General features: G+C 37.8%; 2 long non-coding RNA genes across 2 annotated transcripts in view, besides 4 other annotated features; both read right to left on the bottom strand.

Moving 5' to 3' along the window:
* Positions 1–16,317, bottom strand: part of PYDC2-AS1 (PYDC2 antisense RNA 1) — a 164,833-nt gene that overhangs the window by 77,626 nt on the left and 70,890 nt on the right. The window lies entirely within an intron of this gene.
* Positions 4,528–4,697: an enhancer, noted in NCBI's record as "experimental_67118 CRE fragment used in MPRA reporter constructs". NCBI's record gives its function as "activates a minimal promoter by MPRAs in K562 erythroleukemia cells, with activity observed for both the introgressed and non-introgressed 3:191225908 or rs73193787 variant alleles {active_cell/tissue: K562}" and the evidence as "EXISTENCE:reporter gene assay evidence [ECO:0000049][PMID:34662402]".
* Position 4,612: a transcriptional cis regulatory region, noted in NCBI's record as "Neanderthal adaptively introgressed variant 3:191225908 (GRCh37/hg19 assembly coordinates) or rs73193787 in the experimental_67118 CRE". NCBI's record gives its function as "modulates activity of the experimental_67118 enhancer by MPRAs in K562 erythroleukemia cells {active_cell/tissue: K562}" and the evidence as "EXISTENCE:reporter gene assay evidence [ECO:0000049][PMID:34662402]".
* On the bottom strand, positions 4,955–7,905 carry LOC124909472 (uncharacterized). Its single transcript, XR_007096215.1, has 2 exons — positions 7,314–7,905; positions 4,955–5,139 (listed from the first exon to the last, which is right to left on the bottom strand). It is a non-coding gene; the product is annotated as an uncharacterized LOC124909472 (long non-coding RNA).
* Positions 12,325–12,878: an enhancer, noted in NCBI's record as "H3K27ac-H3K4me1 hESC enhancer chr3:191217642-191218195 (GRCh37/hg19 assembly coordinates)". NCBI's record gives its function as "activates a minimal SCP1, AML or CMV promoter by ChIP-STARR-seq in naive H9 embryonic stem cells {active_cell/tissue: H9 hESC(naive)}" and the evidence as "EXISTENCE:reporter gene assay evidence [ECO:0000049][PMID:30033119]".
* Positions 12,879–13,433: an enhancer, noted in NCBI's record as "H3K27ac-H3K4me1 hESC enhancer chr3:191217087-191217641 (GRCh37/hg19 assembly coordinates)". NCBI's record gives its function as "activates a minimal SCP1, AML or CMV promoter by ChIP-STARR-seq in naive H9 embryonic stem cells {active_cell/tissue: H9 hESC(naive)}" and the evidence as "EXISTENCE:reporter gene assay evidence [ECO:0000049][PMID:30033119]".

The following is a 16,317-nucleotide window of genomic DNA, read 5'->3' as shown; positions in this document are numbered from 1 at the left end:
TTCTGTCTTTCCTCTTGTAAAAATTTTCTACCTTAGATAAAATCAAATTCCTAACTTACTGACAAAATACTCTTTTCTCAAGTTGCCTATCTTAACCTTCATTGTGATCACTTACTAATGTTGGTTCATCTTCCTTTGTACTTTCAAATAACTTCTAAAGTGGAATAGCTAGATAAGAAAAAAGTGGAGGAAAATATTATTTTAATGTTGCAGAATACAGCCATTTCTTATCTATTACCTCTTCAATTATGCATATAAGTTAATACCAATATCCACAATAATTCTATCTATAGAAAAATAAAATTATAAAAACATGACTGTACCCTCAGAAGATAAGTCCTTTTTCTGAACTATATTACTATTCTTTCCTGTTTCCTTGTTTGGTTATTCTTCTGATATTCAGGTCTTAACTTTAATTTAGAAAATAAATGTGGAACAATCCTTTCATGCCATAGACCAAGGGCATGTCATTTAATCATTGAAACACTAGTGTGGTCATCATCACCTGACAATTCTAGTTGATCTAAAATGCAGAATGCTTACAATATTTATATTCTAAGGAAAATAGATTGGGACATCTATTTTTAATCCCAGAGATTCTATTAACTCCTGATGACTCTGTGGCCTATGCATGACTATAATATTCTTAATATTGTAACAACCCAAAATAAAACTATATTCCCTCAATATAAAAATTATGCTGTTGTCAACTGTTTTCTTAGTTCATTCAGGCTGCAATAACAAAATACCGTAAGCTGGGTGCTTATAAACAACAGAAATTCATTACCCACAGTTCTGGAAACTGGTAAGTCCCAGGTCAGGGCACTGGCAGATTCAGCATCTGTCAAGGGCCAATCATTCTCTGCTTCATGGATGCCCATCTTCTCTGCGTGTTCTTACATGGGGAAATAGGGCAAGGGAACTCTCTGAGGCCTCTTTTGTAAGGGCATTGATTCCATTCTTGAGGGTGCCACCCTCACGACCTAATCACCTCCCAAAGGGCCCACCTGCAAATTCCATCACACTGGGGGTTAGGTTTCAACATAGAAATTTTAGGGGGACAAACATTCAGTCAATAGCACCTGTTAAGTCAGCACATGTTTCTAAAACCTACTGAATAATGTGTTCAACGTGGGAGGACAATGGTGAATCTGATCCTGTGTATTTTTTTCAATTCTTTAGATCAAGAAGTCAGAAATTTTTTGAGAAAGGGTTCCTTTTCTGTCTGCAGATAATGTGCATGTCTATGAGGAAAGCAGGAGGGACCCACTGCTATCAGTTCGATCCTCCTCCTTTGAGAATCCTGAAGAAAACACAGTGAGGGAAGAAAGGAGAATAATGGTAGGGATAGCACAAGGAAATTCTGTGTAAGATGTACAGAGAAATCAATGTGAAACCGCTTCCCCAAATTATTTCTTCCCATAAGAAAATATTTGTATATCTTAGAGAAGTTGATACTTGACTGTTAGGCTGACACTGGGTCCCTAGTATAAAATTAGAATCCTAATAATTTCCAGCAGATTATACTTATTTATGATCACTAAATGCCATATCCAAAACAGAACCTCTCATTTAAATTTCAAGCTTTAGAAATAAATGGAAGAAATGTGTGGGCTGTTCATCCATTTTCTGAACATTAGCCCTCCTATTATTTTAGGTGCAGCATGTTTTAAGCTACGGTTCAATTCTCTATATTGCATCTTCAATTTACTTCCATTTATACCATATTAACAATTTTCAAACTAACCAGGCAGAAATACACTGAACTGTAGCCCCAGAAATAGGTGAAATGAAATCGATGTTACTAAATCTGCATGTAGTGATTATAGATGGAAATATTACATCATTGCCATGACAGTGCCATGATGCCTTTGATTTTTTTTTTCATGGAATAACAAAATATGCATTTAATAGGTATGTCTAATTGTCTTTCATTCTGGGTTTTGCTCGCCAACATAGTAACATGCTTTTTGCTAAATGTTATAGTATTGGAGTTCCTCTGCCTCCAGCTGCCATTAACACATTTTGTATTCATGCTTTGCGTAAATTCTGGAAAATGTTTTCAGTTAAGCTTCCTAACCATGCATTTAATTTATATTTAATGAGACAGGAGAAGGTAAAGTTAATGTGAATTGATTAAACTTAAAATAGATATATTGGTGTTTATTAATCTACCAGTAGGTAATATTATGATCACCTTCTGAAGTTAAACCATCATCAGTAAACCCCTTTTCTAGTTGAAGTTAAAGGTAAATGGAAGCATTAACAGATTAAGATGAGTCAAGGACTGGCTCTTTCCTACAATTAAAGATACAAATATCCCAATTTCCTTAAGCAATTTATAGCAGCTTATGAAATGGTGCTTAGAGCTCTTTTAGTCCTTCCAATAAATGTGGAACTTTCTTCTACAGCCAAACCAGTAAATGGTTGTACTCAGCCACCTTGATGCAATGTGGGCCAATGTGAATCTGACCTAAAGGTCTATATGTTAGATCTTTAAGCATTTAAGACAGCTCTCAGGTCCCTCATAAAACTTTTTTTTTTTTTTTTTTTTTTTGAGATGGAGTCTCACTCTGTTGCCAGGCTGGAATGCAGTGGCGAGATGTTGGCTCACTGCAAACTCCACCTCAGGTTCAAGCAATTCTCCTGCCTCAGCCTCCTGAGTAGCTGGGACTACAGGCGCATGCCACCATGCCCAGCTAATTTTTGTGTTTTTAGTAGAGATGGGGTTTCACCATGTTGGCCAGGATGGTCTCCATCTCCTCACCTCATGATCCACCCACCTCAGCCTCAAAAAGTGCTGGGATTACAGGCGTGAGCCACCACGGCCAGCCAAAAATATGACAAATCAATCCTAGGTACTTGAATAATATTCATATTACTGCACACCCTTCTAAACTGACTGCCTCTATATATCAGTTTCTTTCTTAAATTAGGAATTTAGTGTTCATACATGGTAGAAGCAGTCTATACTTTCATAACTTTGCACTATATCCCAGAGCTTCCCACACACTTATTCTCCCCAAATTCCAATAATAGGAACTATGATTAAATGTTCTGGCATTTTGGTAAATGCCCTATCAAACCATCAGTCTGACTTTTAATAACTCTGATTTCTTTTAGGTGCAAGGATTAGGCAATGCTTTCTGACATGGTAGACTTTTGGTGGAACTAGTTATCAGCCAAAAGACTGCTCATGGGAAGATAGCCTTATGGCAATACCATCTTGACATTTCAAGAAAGGGTCCTTTTGAGATAAAATTCAGGAAAAAAAAATGCCACATGAAATAGAAGTCTATCTAAAAAAAAAAATCCTTACTGAAAAGCAACGGTACCTACAACTGTAAATTGTCAGGCATATAGTGATGAAGGAGACACAATATGTTGTGAACCCTCCTAAGAGGCTTGGTTCATATCATTATTTCTGTAAATGTTCTCATGACCACACCCTAACTAAGGAACACCCAATATTCAAACTCAAGGCTGTGGCTTTAAAGCCTGTGCACTTTTCATCATACCCAGCTTCCTTCATACCAAGACCTCCCGGAAGGGGAGAAAAGGCAATTAATTCTACTGCCAGCCAAGGAATTTTCTCATTCTATTTACCATTTGAGTTAAGGTATGAACTAGCCCTTTAATCTGGGGCATGAGGACATATCATAAAGACTGATCAAAGTCTATTCTAAATTATTCACTGAGCAGAGTGTTTCAGGACAGAATGGGACACCAGGAAGTTACCAGGGGACTTTTATTTTTGTGGACCTATTATTTTACCCTCAAATTAGCATCGCCTTATAAATTCTGTATTTCTGTGGATATCACCATCCTTCCCCTTCCATTCTAAATATTAGAAATTGAGGAGCCTGGATTCATGGCCTCCGAATGGCAACTGGTCCACCTGAGCCACGCTCCTTCACATGCCTCATTCAGCTCCACAGTATTACCCGATAAAACATTCCATCTGGTGTCACTCTGTCTGTTCCGGATTCTCCATTTTCAGGATATGCTGCCTAGTTTACTAAGTTAATCTGTTTAGCCTGTGCCTCCAAACATGTCTACTACCTACGCATAAGCTTCTGGATCCCCCCAATACCTATAAGATAGTCATTTGCTTGTCATTTAAAGAGCTGTATAATATTTCTCATTTCTATTTTTCTAGTTTCATTTCACATAATCCTGCATTTATACCACACATGGCAGCCAAACTGACCTATTTGATTTTCCACACATACGCTGAATTTTCTTAGCTCTAGACCATTACCTTAAGACGATGACTTTCCTAATACAGGATTATCCTATTTTACTTCAGCTGATCATTGAAGACTGACCACCAATGAATCTGCAGTCCTGAAGCCTGTTCTTGCTTGCAATATCACCATATTGAGATTTTAACCATCTTTAAGTTCCTTCTAAGATGTCACTTAAAATATTCTTATTATAGTATGTCTCTCTCTCTCTCTCTCTCACACACACACACACACACAGAGAGACACACACACACACAGACTTGCCCTGCATATCCCTTCTAGATTCAATTATTCATCTTTCATTCATAGTATGGGGTTTTAATAACAACAAGTACCTTGTAAGTGTTGCTTGAAATAAAGTAACATAAAGCACCCCTTATAAGAGATTGAAAAGTTGTCCCAATGTTTGCATACCAATATACTTAGGAGTGAGTACTACAGTACTTTTCTATAATCATAAAACTGCCTGACTTCATTTAATGTAAGGTCAGAAATAGAGGCCAGCTTGGTGCGACAAGTACTTTCACATAATCCTCATTCCCACTCCACCATACACCGAGGAAACTTTATTTTTTTTCCAAGTCACAGATGGCATAAGAGAGAAAATGGAAGAACAGCTGGGAGTTTCACAAAGGTACCTTCGGCTCTCTCAGAAGCTCAGTTCAAACTGTCCCCATAGCCAGAACAAAGCAGTGAAAGAAGCAAAATTGCCCAATATTAAAATGCTTTATTTCACTTGAATTCCCTCGAATTGCTGCTATCCTCTGTTTAGCTTTAACTTAGGTGACCTGGCAGGTACAATTGCAGTGTGTGGCCTCCTTGAATAACAGCAACAAAGGCATAGTCCTTGAGAGCTGCCAACAGTGGTGGTGTATAGGTGTCGCTGGCCAGCCTGAGCATAGTTAGGAAGAAAAAAAAAATACAAAGACTGGGATGAAAGGATGAAGTCAGAAATATAAGACAGAGCAACTCAGTGGTGAAATGGAACACCACAGGCTCACTCCTCTGCAAAAGAGTCTTATTTGTAAAATGGTCAAAACTCCTTCAAAATTTAGTAGATGTCCTATTTGAGCAGATGTTATAGTTTACATTTCAATCAGAAGATAATAAAATAATGAATCTGTACCAGATTTGGGGATTGGGTGAATAATTCATTATGTGTAATTCTAGGTTAATATACAAACCTGGACTTTTTCTCTTCTTGAAAACTCTATCTGGAGCTTCATTCTTCAAAATGTAACCTCCTACTTAACACCTTCACCCAATCCTCCTAGGAAAATGTATTTATTTATAAAATAAACATCAAGAGCTTACTATGTACCAGGCAATATTTTAAATACTGTGGATACAACTATCAATGAAAGAGGCACAGTCTGTGACCTCATCGAACATTTATTTTAGTAACGGGAGCAGGGGCCAGTGAGTAAAATGAGGAGAGGAAAGGAATACATAGATAAATATAAATAAGCCCAATGTTTTGGAGAACGTGAAATGGCCTAAAGAGTATAAAGTGATGTGATAGAGAAGAACTGCCAGCTGTGTGGATGGGGTGCTGTAATTAAGGTCATCAGGGAAGGGTTCTCTGAAAAAGAGATATTTGAATTGTTATCTAAAGGCAAAAATAGTCAAATAAGAGGGAGAGAGATAAGGGGAAAAGAGAGGAAGAGAAGAGAGAAACTATGAACCCAGAGCATTCTAAGTGAATGGCCCATAATGCTAGAATATTTCTGGTCCAAAATGTACTAAGGTACAGAGGCCCTAACATGGTTTGGCTGTGACCCCTACCCAAATCTCATCATGAACTGTAGCTCCCGTAATCCCCATAGGTCATGGGAGGGACCCGGTGGGAGGTAATTGAATCATGGGGGTGGGTCTTTCCCGTGCTGTTCTCGTGGTAGTGAATAACTCTCAAAAGATCTGATGGTTTTATAAATGGGAGTTTCCCTGCACAAGCACTCTCTCTTGCTCACCACCAGAGAAGACCCTTTCCTCTTCCTTTGTTTTCCACCATGATTGTGAGGCCTCCCCAGCCATGTGGAACTGTGAGCCAATTAAACCTCTTTCTTTTATAAATTATCCAGTCTCAGGTATGTCTTTATTAGCAGCGTGAGAACACACTAATACAGGCCCTAAAGTGGAAATTAATTGGAATAAGCTTGCTTTATTTGCCAAGTGCAAAGAAAGCCACGGTGGTTGGAGCATAGTGAACAAAGTGAAAAGTGCTCAATATGGAAAGGTGGAATAGTCGGCAGAGGTCAGTGGTTGTAAGGTATTTTTGGCCCTGAAAGGAGGATTGAATTTGATTCTAAGTTCAGTAATAGAAAGGATTACTTTTGAAGACTTTACACAGAGGATTGACATGTTCTAATCTGCATTTTAAAAGAATGAGTCCTACTTCTGTGAGGTAAATGGACAGTGTAAAGCAAGACCAAAGAAGAGACAGAAGAAGGGAAGTGTAATAGTTCAGGTGTGAGCTGCTGGTGGCTTTGAGTCAGAATAGAAGCAATGTTACCTTCATTATCCTCCTCTTGTACTGAGTGAACCTATACTACAGAATTATCACACTGAAGGATATTCTAATTTATATGTGTCTGCCACCTGTACTAGACAATAAACAGCTTGAAGATTGAGGGTGTATTTTATTCATCTTCCTAGCCCCCATCATTCAGGGTACAGTGCAGAGCTGACCCTTAATAAATGTTTGTAGCACAGATCATAGCAAAATGGTCTTTTCCTGTGATCCTGAAAAGTACCATTGATGTATACATGTATACATTGATGTATCATAGTCAAGAACCTATGATACCAACCTTGGTCCACTACTTATAGCTCTTCATCTTGTGTAGATTATTTGACCACAACATTCCCCTAGCCTCAGTTTATTCACCTTTCAAGCTCACGGTCCTATTAATAGCAAACTAGAAATAAATGAGCAAGGGCCTTGTAAAATTACATTGCAAAGTCTCATTGATTGCAAAGCATTATTATCAGTTCTGTTTCCTCTTCTTAAATATTAGCTTTTTATATTAGAAAGAAAGATTTTTTTCTCTTCAAGTTAGAACTCACCAGATGTCTCTTTGAAAATCTTAGGAAATGTACTGGTGATTTGGGAATGCAGAATAATCCTTTAATTCTCCCAGCCTTCTGTTGTTGTAGGTGGTTTAGAAGTCACAGATAATTCCCACTTCTTATAAATTTTCCAACCATCCTAATTCTTCTCTCATGCAGAAGACTGGGTTCTATTCATGAATCAAAAGCTGACACATAAATAAATATGTGGTATAAAGGCAGTGTGGTGTAGAGAAAAGATCACAGCACTTACAGTCAAAGGCCTGAAGTTTTTGGTTTTATCACCTTCTAATGTGGTTTGCAGCATGAATTAGGCATATCACTTACCATGTCTTGTGTCTAAACGTTCCGTCATATTGAGGAGACAAGAAAAAGTGTGTTTGGATTTCCTACAATATCCAATTCTCTTGTTCTCCAACATTAGTTGGTGTCTGACAATTCAATTCAATTCTGACATCAACTACCCCGAATTAACACAGATCCCACAAGTTAAGGGTTCCGTCCTGCAAGCCTGCCTCCACTTCTGCCAGTCACAACAAGGTCTTTAGGCTACCTGCACTTCTGCCTAACAACTATAAATTTGGAGGTTCTTCACAATCCCCCTTCAGGCTCCATAATTTACTAGAATGATTTATAGAACTCAGGAAGTCACTATACTTACGATTACTGTTTTATTATAAAGGAAACAATTCAGAAACAGTCAAATGGAAGAAGTGTGTAGGGCAAGATACTGGGGGGAGGGGGCATACAGAGCTTCTGTGCCTTCTCTGGGTACACCACTCCCCCAGTACATGGACATGTTCAGCAACACAGAAGCTCCCTTAGTAAAGAGTGTGTGTGTGTGTGTATGTGTGTGTGTGTGTAGAGATAAGGTCTTGCTGTGTGCCCAGGCTGGAATGCAGTGACTATTCATAGGCAAGATCATGATGCACTACAAACTCAAATTTCTGTGCTCAAACAATTTTTCTGCCTCAGCCTCTCAAGTAGCTGTGACTACAGGAATGTGCCACTGCACCTGGCTATGTTTCAAAGTTTTTATAAAAGTTTCATTACATAGATATAATCGATGAAAGCATTAGTTATTAAATTCTCCAGCTCTTCTCCCCTCCATGAGGTTGGAGACAGGGCTAATAGTTCTAATTCTTTAACCAGGTGGATGGTTTTTCTTCTGGCAACTAGCCTGCATCCTGAAGCTACCTAGGTGCACAGCAAGTGTTACCACGTTGGCATAAAATCAGGAATGGTCAAAAGGGGCTCATTATGAAAAACAAAATTCCAACGGTTGGTTGTAGGTGGTTTGTGTCAGGAACCAGGGACAAAGACCAAATATATATACTTTTTTTTTTTTTTGAGACGGAGTCTCGCTCTGTCGCCCAGGCCGGACTGCGGACTGCAGTGGCGCAATCTCGGCTCACTGCAAGCTCCGCTTCCCGGGTTCACGCCATTCTCCTGCCTCAGCCTCCCGAGTAGCTGGGACTACAGGCGCCCGCCACCGCGCCCGGCTAATTTTTTTGTATTTTTTTTTAGTAGAGACGGGGTTTCACCTTGTTAACCAGGATGGTCTCGATCTCCTGACCTCATGATCCACCCGCCTCGGCCTCCCAAAGTGCTGGGATTACAGGCGTGAGCCACCGCGCCCGGCCTATATACTTTTATTGTACCACAAATGGCAATCAATTAGGTTATTTCTAATTTTTCTTCCAGTTCTAAATATTCTGCCATTGGTTAATTTTTATTTGTACTCCACTTCCTAAAGTCAGTTCTGTACTATTGAGCACAAAACCACATGGGTATAGAAGCACGTGGATTATATGAATCTTAACACAATAGTAGGATAAAAATGGTTAACTCTTCATTCCTTACCAGCATCACAAAAGGAAAAGATTCTCAATGCTAATAAAATTTCCCAAGATTAAGAAGAAAGAAAGAGACATTTAAACAAAAATAACAATTTGAGAGGTGGAGGAAGAAAATAATTTAATGCAATAATCTCATTAATTCTGACTTCCTTCTAGATTTCATCATACCTTAAAACTGTACATAATAGCAAATTTTTTTCTACAAACTATTCAAGTAAATAGGATAAACTACTTTCTGAGAGGATTGCTTAAAATCAGGTAAGATAGTGAAGTTAAACATCAAAAATATATAAACACATTCATGAACAAAAATCGAAATAATGATAAGCCACTCACGCCAATTTACCCAGTCATCAAAGCACAAATTATAAAATTCCAAATTTAAAAATAAAGTTAAAAAGAAAGAGAAATGAGGAAAAAAACTAGCCTTAGTTGCTATAAATCAAGCACAATGAGAATTTCCTGCTCTTGCGTTTTGGTCCCATTATTATTTTCGTGAGAACTGTAACTGGAGATTTGTCCCTTTGGGATACGTAAGCGACTATGGTAAGGGTTTTGCTCTCCACCTTCAGATCAAAGTAGATGCCATGTTTTTCTCCAGATGACTTCCTGTACATTCTCTCTTCTCTCATGGCCAAATAACAAATGATCAGAAAGTTACTAACAAATGCTTTACTGTTAACTGGCAAGAGGGTACGGTAAGCTAAACTTCAAATTATTCCAAAAGTAACAAAGGTTATTTTCAGCCAGTCAAGGGAAGTCACATTTACAGCACCACCTTGTGAAAGAATAAGGAACTTGCTTGCCAAGGTAAGGAGCAAGAAGCGAACCTTTCTGAACTCATTAAAGGAAATTTTTCAAACGCTTAACTTCCTTTCCATTATCTATTAGTTACTTCACAATATATGTGTATGTACATGGACAACTCAATTTGGAAAATTTTTCTACTTATTTTCAATATTTTTCTCTCAGCGCAATTATTTCACTATTAATTATCAGAGCCATATAAAATAAAGGCAGTATGTACTGTGCCTAAAGAAATATGGTTTTATATTCAAGCAAAATGTATTCCTTTTCTGTATCCCCGTCTTCTCTTCCTTGAACCTCTTTTCTTATAACTCCATAGATATCAAGACTCTCCTTTTTTTAATAAATGGAAAAAAGGCCAGGGAATTCATGTCTAATAGTTTATCATAGCAGGGTATAAATCAAAGCAACATAAATACTGTGTGTATTATCTAGTATTCCAATCAATATTTGTTCTACAAATTAAAAATGGAAAATGCATGGATACTGTGCTGCTTATTATTGAGTCGGTTTTCTGAATTTTTGGATTAAGATTCCCAAATAGTTTACTCCTTAAATTGTGCAAACTGCCATTCTAGATGTTTTCTTTTTCTATTTATTTGCAATGTGTAAAATTACGTGGCCCAGTGGTTCCAGATTTTCGTGTGCATAAGAAGTAACTAGAGTATTTGTCACTTGTTACCAAACCCTATTCCCAGGCTTTGATTCCAGAGAACTGAAGTGGGAGCCCTCTAATCTGCATTTCAACCAGTTCGCAGATGATTCTAAAGTGGGTGACCCACGGCCACACTTTGAGGAATAACGTTCTGATTCTAAACTATCTCATTTTGCCATTTGAATTTGTTGGCCTCTTGTGGGATTCCTAATTTGTGTGTAACTTCTCCCATTTAATCAGTTAATTTTCCTCTTCTACCATGTTTTCCATGTAATGTTTTGTCCTTGGATCTACTTCTATTCTATTTTTATATTATTCAATCTTCTGAATTTCTTTTTCTGTCAGACACTGAAAACTAAATCTATATTATACTCCATAGTAATGTTCCCTCCACTATATAGCAGACAATCTAGGTGTTTTAAAACTAAATAACCTTACAGCAATTTACTCGTTTTTAACTAATGTGCAATTCTGTTCAGGCTGCCTTTCCTACAACACTTAGGATTTCTGAGTGCTAACACCTCTCCAGTCCTATTCTATGACCTCCAACCTCCTAAATCTAATTATCTCCAACTTTAAAAATCTGCCTGAGTAAAATCCGTAAGCAGAAAGAACAGGCACAGCTGTACTCTAAGCACAGCTCTATTTACTACAATTCTTTTAACTTTTCTAATTAAAGTTTCTACAGTTAGGCATTTAGAGTATTTGCAGTAATTTTGTTTTCACTGCACTGAAGGTAGGTCATTAGCCTCCACAATTTGAAGAAAAAAATAGGCAGGGAAAAAACATATATATACATATATATATATTTTTTATATATAGGCACACACACATATACGCACACACATAATATGTATGTATACATTGTATATATAGTGTATGCATTTCAAATGTATGTAAACCTATAACAAACACATATGCATATAAATAATAGAAAGCCACATGGTGTGGTAGAGAGAACTCTTTACAGTGGCTATTGAGCAACACCTTGATTCCGCCATTAGCTTTTGCAACATTCTCTTCCTTCTTTGGGCTCTGTCCTCATATTCCAAATCGGGTTTGAATTTGATAGTTAAGAGGGGTCTAAGATTCCTTCCAGATCAAGTGTCATGGGAATCGTAAGGTCACAGAGTAGTCAAGTTGCTCACTTTCTAAATGATCAAATAGGCACCGTTTTAAGCTAGAAAGTGATTTGTACATAGGAGAGATTGTACCATAATTCCTCTTTCAGCCCATTTCTAGTCTGCATTGACAGCTTCTGTTCTGGCAAAGGAAAGTGGGAACTAAGGCAATTGCTTATCTTAATATTCACATAGCCTAGGCCTATTCCTTTCATCTCCCACACTCTTCATTCTAGCCTGAGTTTCAAGGTCCCTGAAATTCTGTGTTTCCAAAGCTCATCTAGTTCATAGACATTATTGTCATCTCTTGGTTTCATAGCAGTCACCACTCTCTCCTCCATTGCTAACAGAAAGGTCCTTTCTCCCACCTTCAAAAACCCAGCTTGGAACCTTTCACAAAAGCATATTGTGTAAACCTAGAACTGAACTTCCAAAAGTTAATAAGATGGCTAAAAAAAAATTCACCTCTGCTGCTTACATTCTCTGAGACCTTGAACAAGCTTTTTAATTGTATTGGGCCTCTACAAATGAGGATTATAACACCCACCTCACGAAATTGGTGTTGGCATCAAAGACGATGAGGTCTAAAAAATCTATCCCAGACCTGACCCGTTGCAAATGGCTGGAAACCATTAACGCCTCATCTTTCCAAGGAATGTATGAGAGATTAATTCCTTTTTACATCATTTAAAGTCTGTAAAACTATAATGTTATTGTCATTATTTGAGAAACAAAGTTCGGTGCTGTGCAAAGAACACATAGAAAACTGCCCACGCACATCCTGCCACTGTCATTTAGAAAAGAGTTTTAATTCCGCAAAAAAAATAAACAGGAGCAATGAAGCTATGCAGCTGTACCTGATTTCTACCTGATTTCTGCCATTATATGTGAGTAAATCTCTTGCCCTTTGTGGATGTCGAGGACCCCATCTGTGAACTGCCGAGACGGAGCTGTGTGACCTCTTAAGTGTCCTTCCTGTTCAGAGATTGCAGCGATACAGTCAGAAAGAGGCTCTGCCATCACAGCTCGGCACCCCGGGCAGGCAGGCAGGCGCTGTGCCAGAATGACTCCCTCCTCGCCTGGGAAGGGTTTCCCTCGGCTGCAGCAGCAGCTCCAAGGAGGCTGCAGGCAAGCGGGGGCGGCACTCCCACGCAGCTCCTCAGAGACAAGGCAAGTGCTGCCTTCCAACCATCAATAATGCAGTATTTTGTCCGCAATAAATTCCCTCCAAAATTAATGAAACAGCCCTTTTAAATTCTCCCGTCACTGCCTCATACAGCAGAAGCTGGGCTAGGCTTCCTGCTCTCTAAATAAATACAGAAGCCGTATAAAGTGTCTGGAGGCAATATCTAGCTTGCTGGGACACAATCTAATCTTTTCAGCCGCGTACAGAAACAAGGAAAAACAAAGAAACCCAGCACCAATGTGTTTGATCTTTATTGCAAAAGGCACTCACTCTATCATACACACAAGAGCCCACACACCTGGGCAAAAGTTTATGGGCATCCATCGTCTCAGTCACTTCCACTTTGCTGTTTTCTGCAATGTGACCTAGAGGATACCCGTAAGGAGGATTAGAGGTGAACTTAACTCCAGATATTATCTAGGAACTCCCCCTTCTTTTTACAGGTGAAGAAACTAAAATCCAGAGAAAGAAACGAACAAAGAGCTGCAATCTACAGCCTAGGGTCCTAGTAGCCTGAATCGGCTCTTCTCCATTTTTAATGTGCGTAAGATTCAGTAGGTCTCAGGTGAGACCCTATAGAGTGTTCATTTCTAAGAAGCTCCCAGGTCCTGCTGCCGGTGGCGTTCCATGAAGCATGATTTTAGTATCATGTATCTAGAAAATCATGAGCCCCACTGAGGCGAAGCCAGTTATTTTTTTACTGTGTTCCCTGCACCTGACAACATCAATCCAGTAGGTATTTAATAAAAGTTTGTCAAATAATTACTTAGTACACCTAAGAGGCAGCATTGCATTGTGGCTGGAAACATGGACCCTGGAGCCATTCTGCCTAGGTTCACATCCTGACAACGGCATCAACAAATTGTGTGCCTTGGGCAAGTCATTTAGCTGCTCTGTCCCTCAGTTTTCTCAATCATAAAATTGCATCGCTAATAGTATAATGTCTTACAGGTTGCTGTGAGGGAGGGAAATGAGCTAATATAAATAAAGCACTTAGAATAGTATCTGGAGAGTGAGAAAACATAAATATGACTTACTTATGGTCACATAGCTATTTAGAGATCTGGGCAATTTATATTTTTTAACATTTTAGTTCAGTATCACCATTCATATCTTTTAAAATTTTAGTTCAGGATCATCAAGCAATACCTGGCAGAAGAACATTCTATTTATTTAGTTATGAAGGATGGCATTTCTACCCTACAAACCTTTAGAGATATAAAATGTAAGTGTAAATCACATAAAAAGACATTATATAATTGAAGGTAGCTGATAAATGAACATACACATGTAAGCCAATCAGAAACTAAGCTCAAGCCTTATAGAGCTGAGTTCAAATTCCAGGTCATTCACATCTAAACAGCGCACAGGTAAACCATTTATTCTCTCAAAATGACAACTGGCATATAAATAAAATGGAGAAATATCTAACTTAGAAAAATGGTATATAGAATAAATGAGATAATGTGTAAACTCAAAATGACAATTGGCATATAAATAAAATGGAGAAATATCTAACTTAGTATAATGATATATATAGAATAAATGAGATAACGTGTATCAGGTATATAATGCTGTTTTGCACATGGAGCTCAAGAAATAATAGCTAGTAATGGTGGTAGTAGTAAAGCCACAAAACATTTACAAGAAGTATAGATTGGAATAAAGCAACTATCTGTTCCACAGGTATGCAGACTGGCAGATTATTCATGCTTTCTCAGCTTTGATGATATAATACCATAGTTTGTCTCCAAAACTATAGAAAGGTATAAAATGCAACATGAGTTAGAGGCTATTTCAGGCCAGAAGAAAGCCTGATGGAAATATGGTGAGGCACCAGAAAAGGACATTCCTAGACCCAAAAGTTCTGGGTGGAACCAGACACCAGAGAGAAATGGTGGATTATCACATTACTTTATGGACCTTAAAGACAGTATATTGGAATTCTTTCATTTAAACTTGGGAAAATTGAGACATAGAGAGATTGTTTTTCCTCTGATAACAGTTTAAACATGAAATAAGCCAGTAACCTGAAACATCAGTACAACCTGAATCCATACCCACCATCAAACAGCAATTCCACCAACCCGTGCCCAAAAGTTCAAAAAAACCATATGAAGAAAAACTTCTGGAATCAACTTTGACGTGTTAAGAGTTTAGAAGTCATCAATGAGAAAAAGCTGGACAAACTTAAACGATTACTTTGCTTGGACTTATCAGAGAACTGAGAGTGAACAATTGATTTAAGGACTTCCCATAAAGCTGCAGTAGTGAAGCCAACGTGGTATACTGGCAAAAGAATAGACATTTAGTTTGATGGAACTGAATAGAGGAACTAAAAATAGACCCACGCATGTATAGTCAACTGATTTTGAAAAAGGTACAAATGAAATTCAATAAAGAAAAATAGTCCTTTCAACAAATAGTGGTGGAACAGTTGGATATATACATATGCAAAGAGAGAGAGAGGGAGACAACGTAGACACAGAGCTAATACATCACACAAAAATTAACTCAGTATAGTTCATAGGCCAAAATGCAAAATGTAACACAATAGATCTTTTAATAGGAAAAATGTAGATGACCTTGAGTTTAATGATGAGATTTTAGGTACAATACCAACTAAACATTGTGATCCATGAAAGAAAAACGTGTCAATTTCAATTTTATTACAATTTAAAAATTCTGCTTTGTGAAAGATATTGTTGAGACTGAAAATACATGACACAGACTTGGACAAAATATTTACAAAACACATATCTGATAAAGGTCTTGTATCCAGAACATACAAAGAACTCTTAGAACTCAACAGTGAGATAGCAAACAACGCAAAGAAATAAGCAGAAGCTCTGAACAGACACCTCACCAAAGAAGACATACACAGCTCTGAGTCTAGGTTCTGTCTCTCACTCTCTTTGCATTTGTATATATCCAATTGTTCTACCATTATTTGTTGAAAGAACTATTTTTTCTTTATTGAATTGCAGTTGTGCCTTTTTTGAAATCCGTTGACTATATACATGTGGGTCTATTTTTAGTTCCTCTATTCATTTCCATCATAGAAGATACACACATGTTAAGTAAGAACATGAAAAGATGCACAAATCATTTGTCCTCAGGGAAATACAAATTAAAACAGTAAATAGATTTCACCATAATCCTATTAGAATAACTAATACCTAAAAAATAACAATACCAATTGCTGGAAAGGATGCAAAGCAACAGGAACTCTCATTCATTGCTGATAGAAATTCAAAGTGGTACGGCCCCATTGGAAGACAGCTTGGCAGTGTCTCACAAAGCTAAATATACTCTTACCATATCAGTCAGCAATTGCACACCTATATATTTACCCAACTGATCTGAAGCCTTA

The sequence above is a fragment of the Homo sapiens genome, chromosome 3, assembly GCF_000001405.40.
Source record: "Homo sapiens chromosome 3, GRCh38.p14 Primary Assembly".
In the NCBI taxonomy this organism is placed as follows: Eukaryota; Metazoa; Chordata; class Mammalia; order Primates; family Hominidae; genus Homo; species Homo sapiens.
This window is presented reverse-complemented; position numbering and strand designations above follow the sequence as displayed.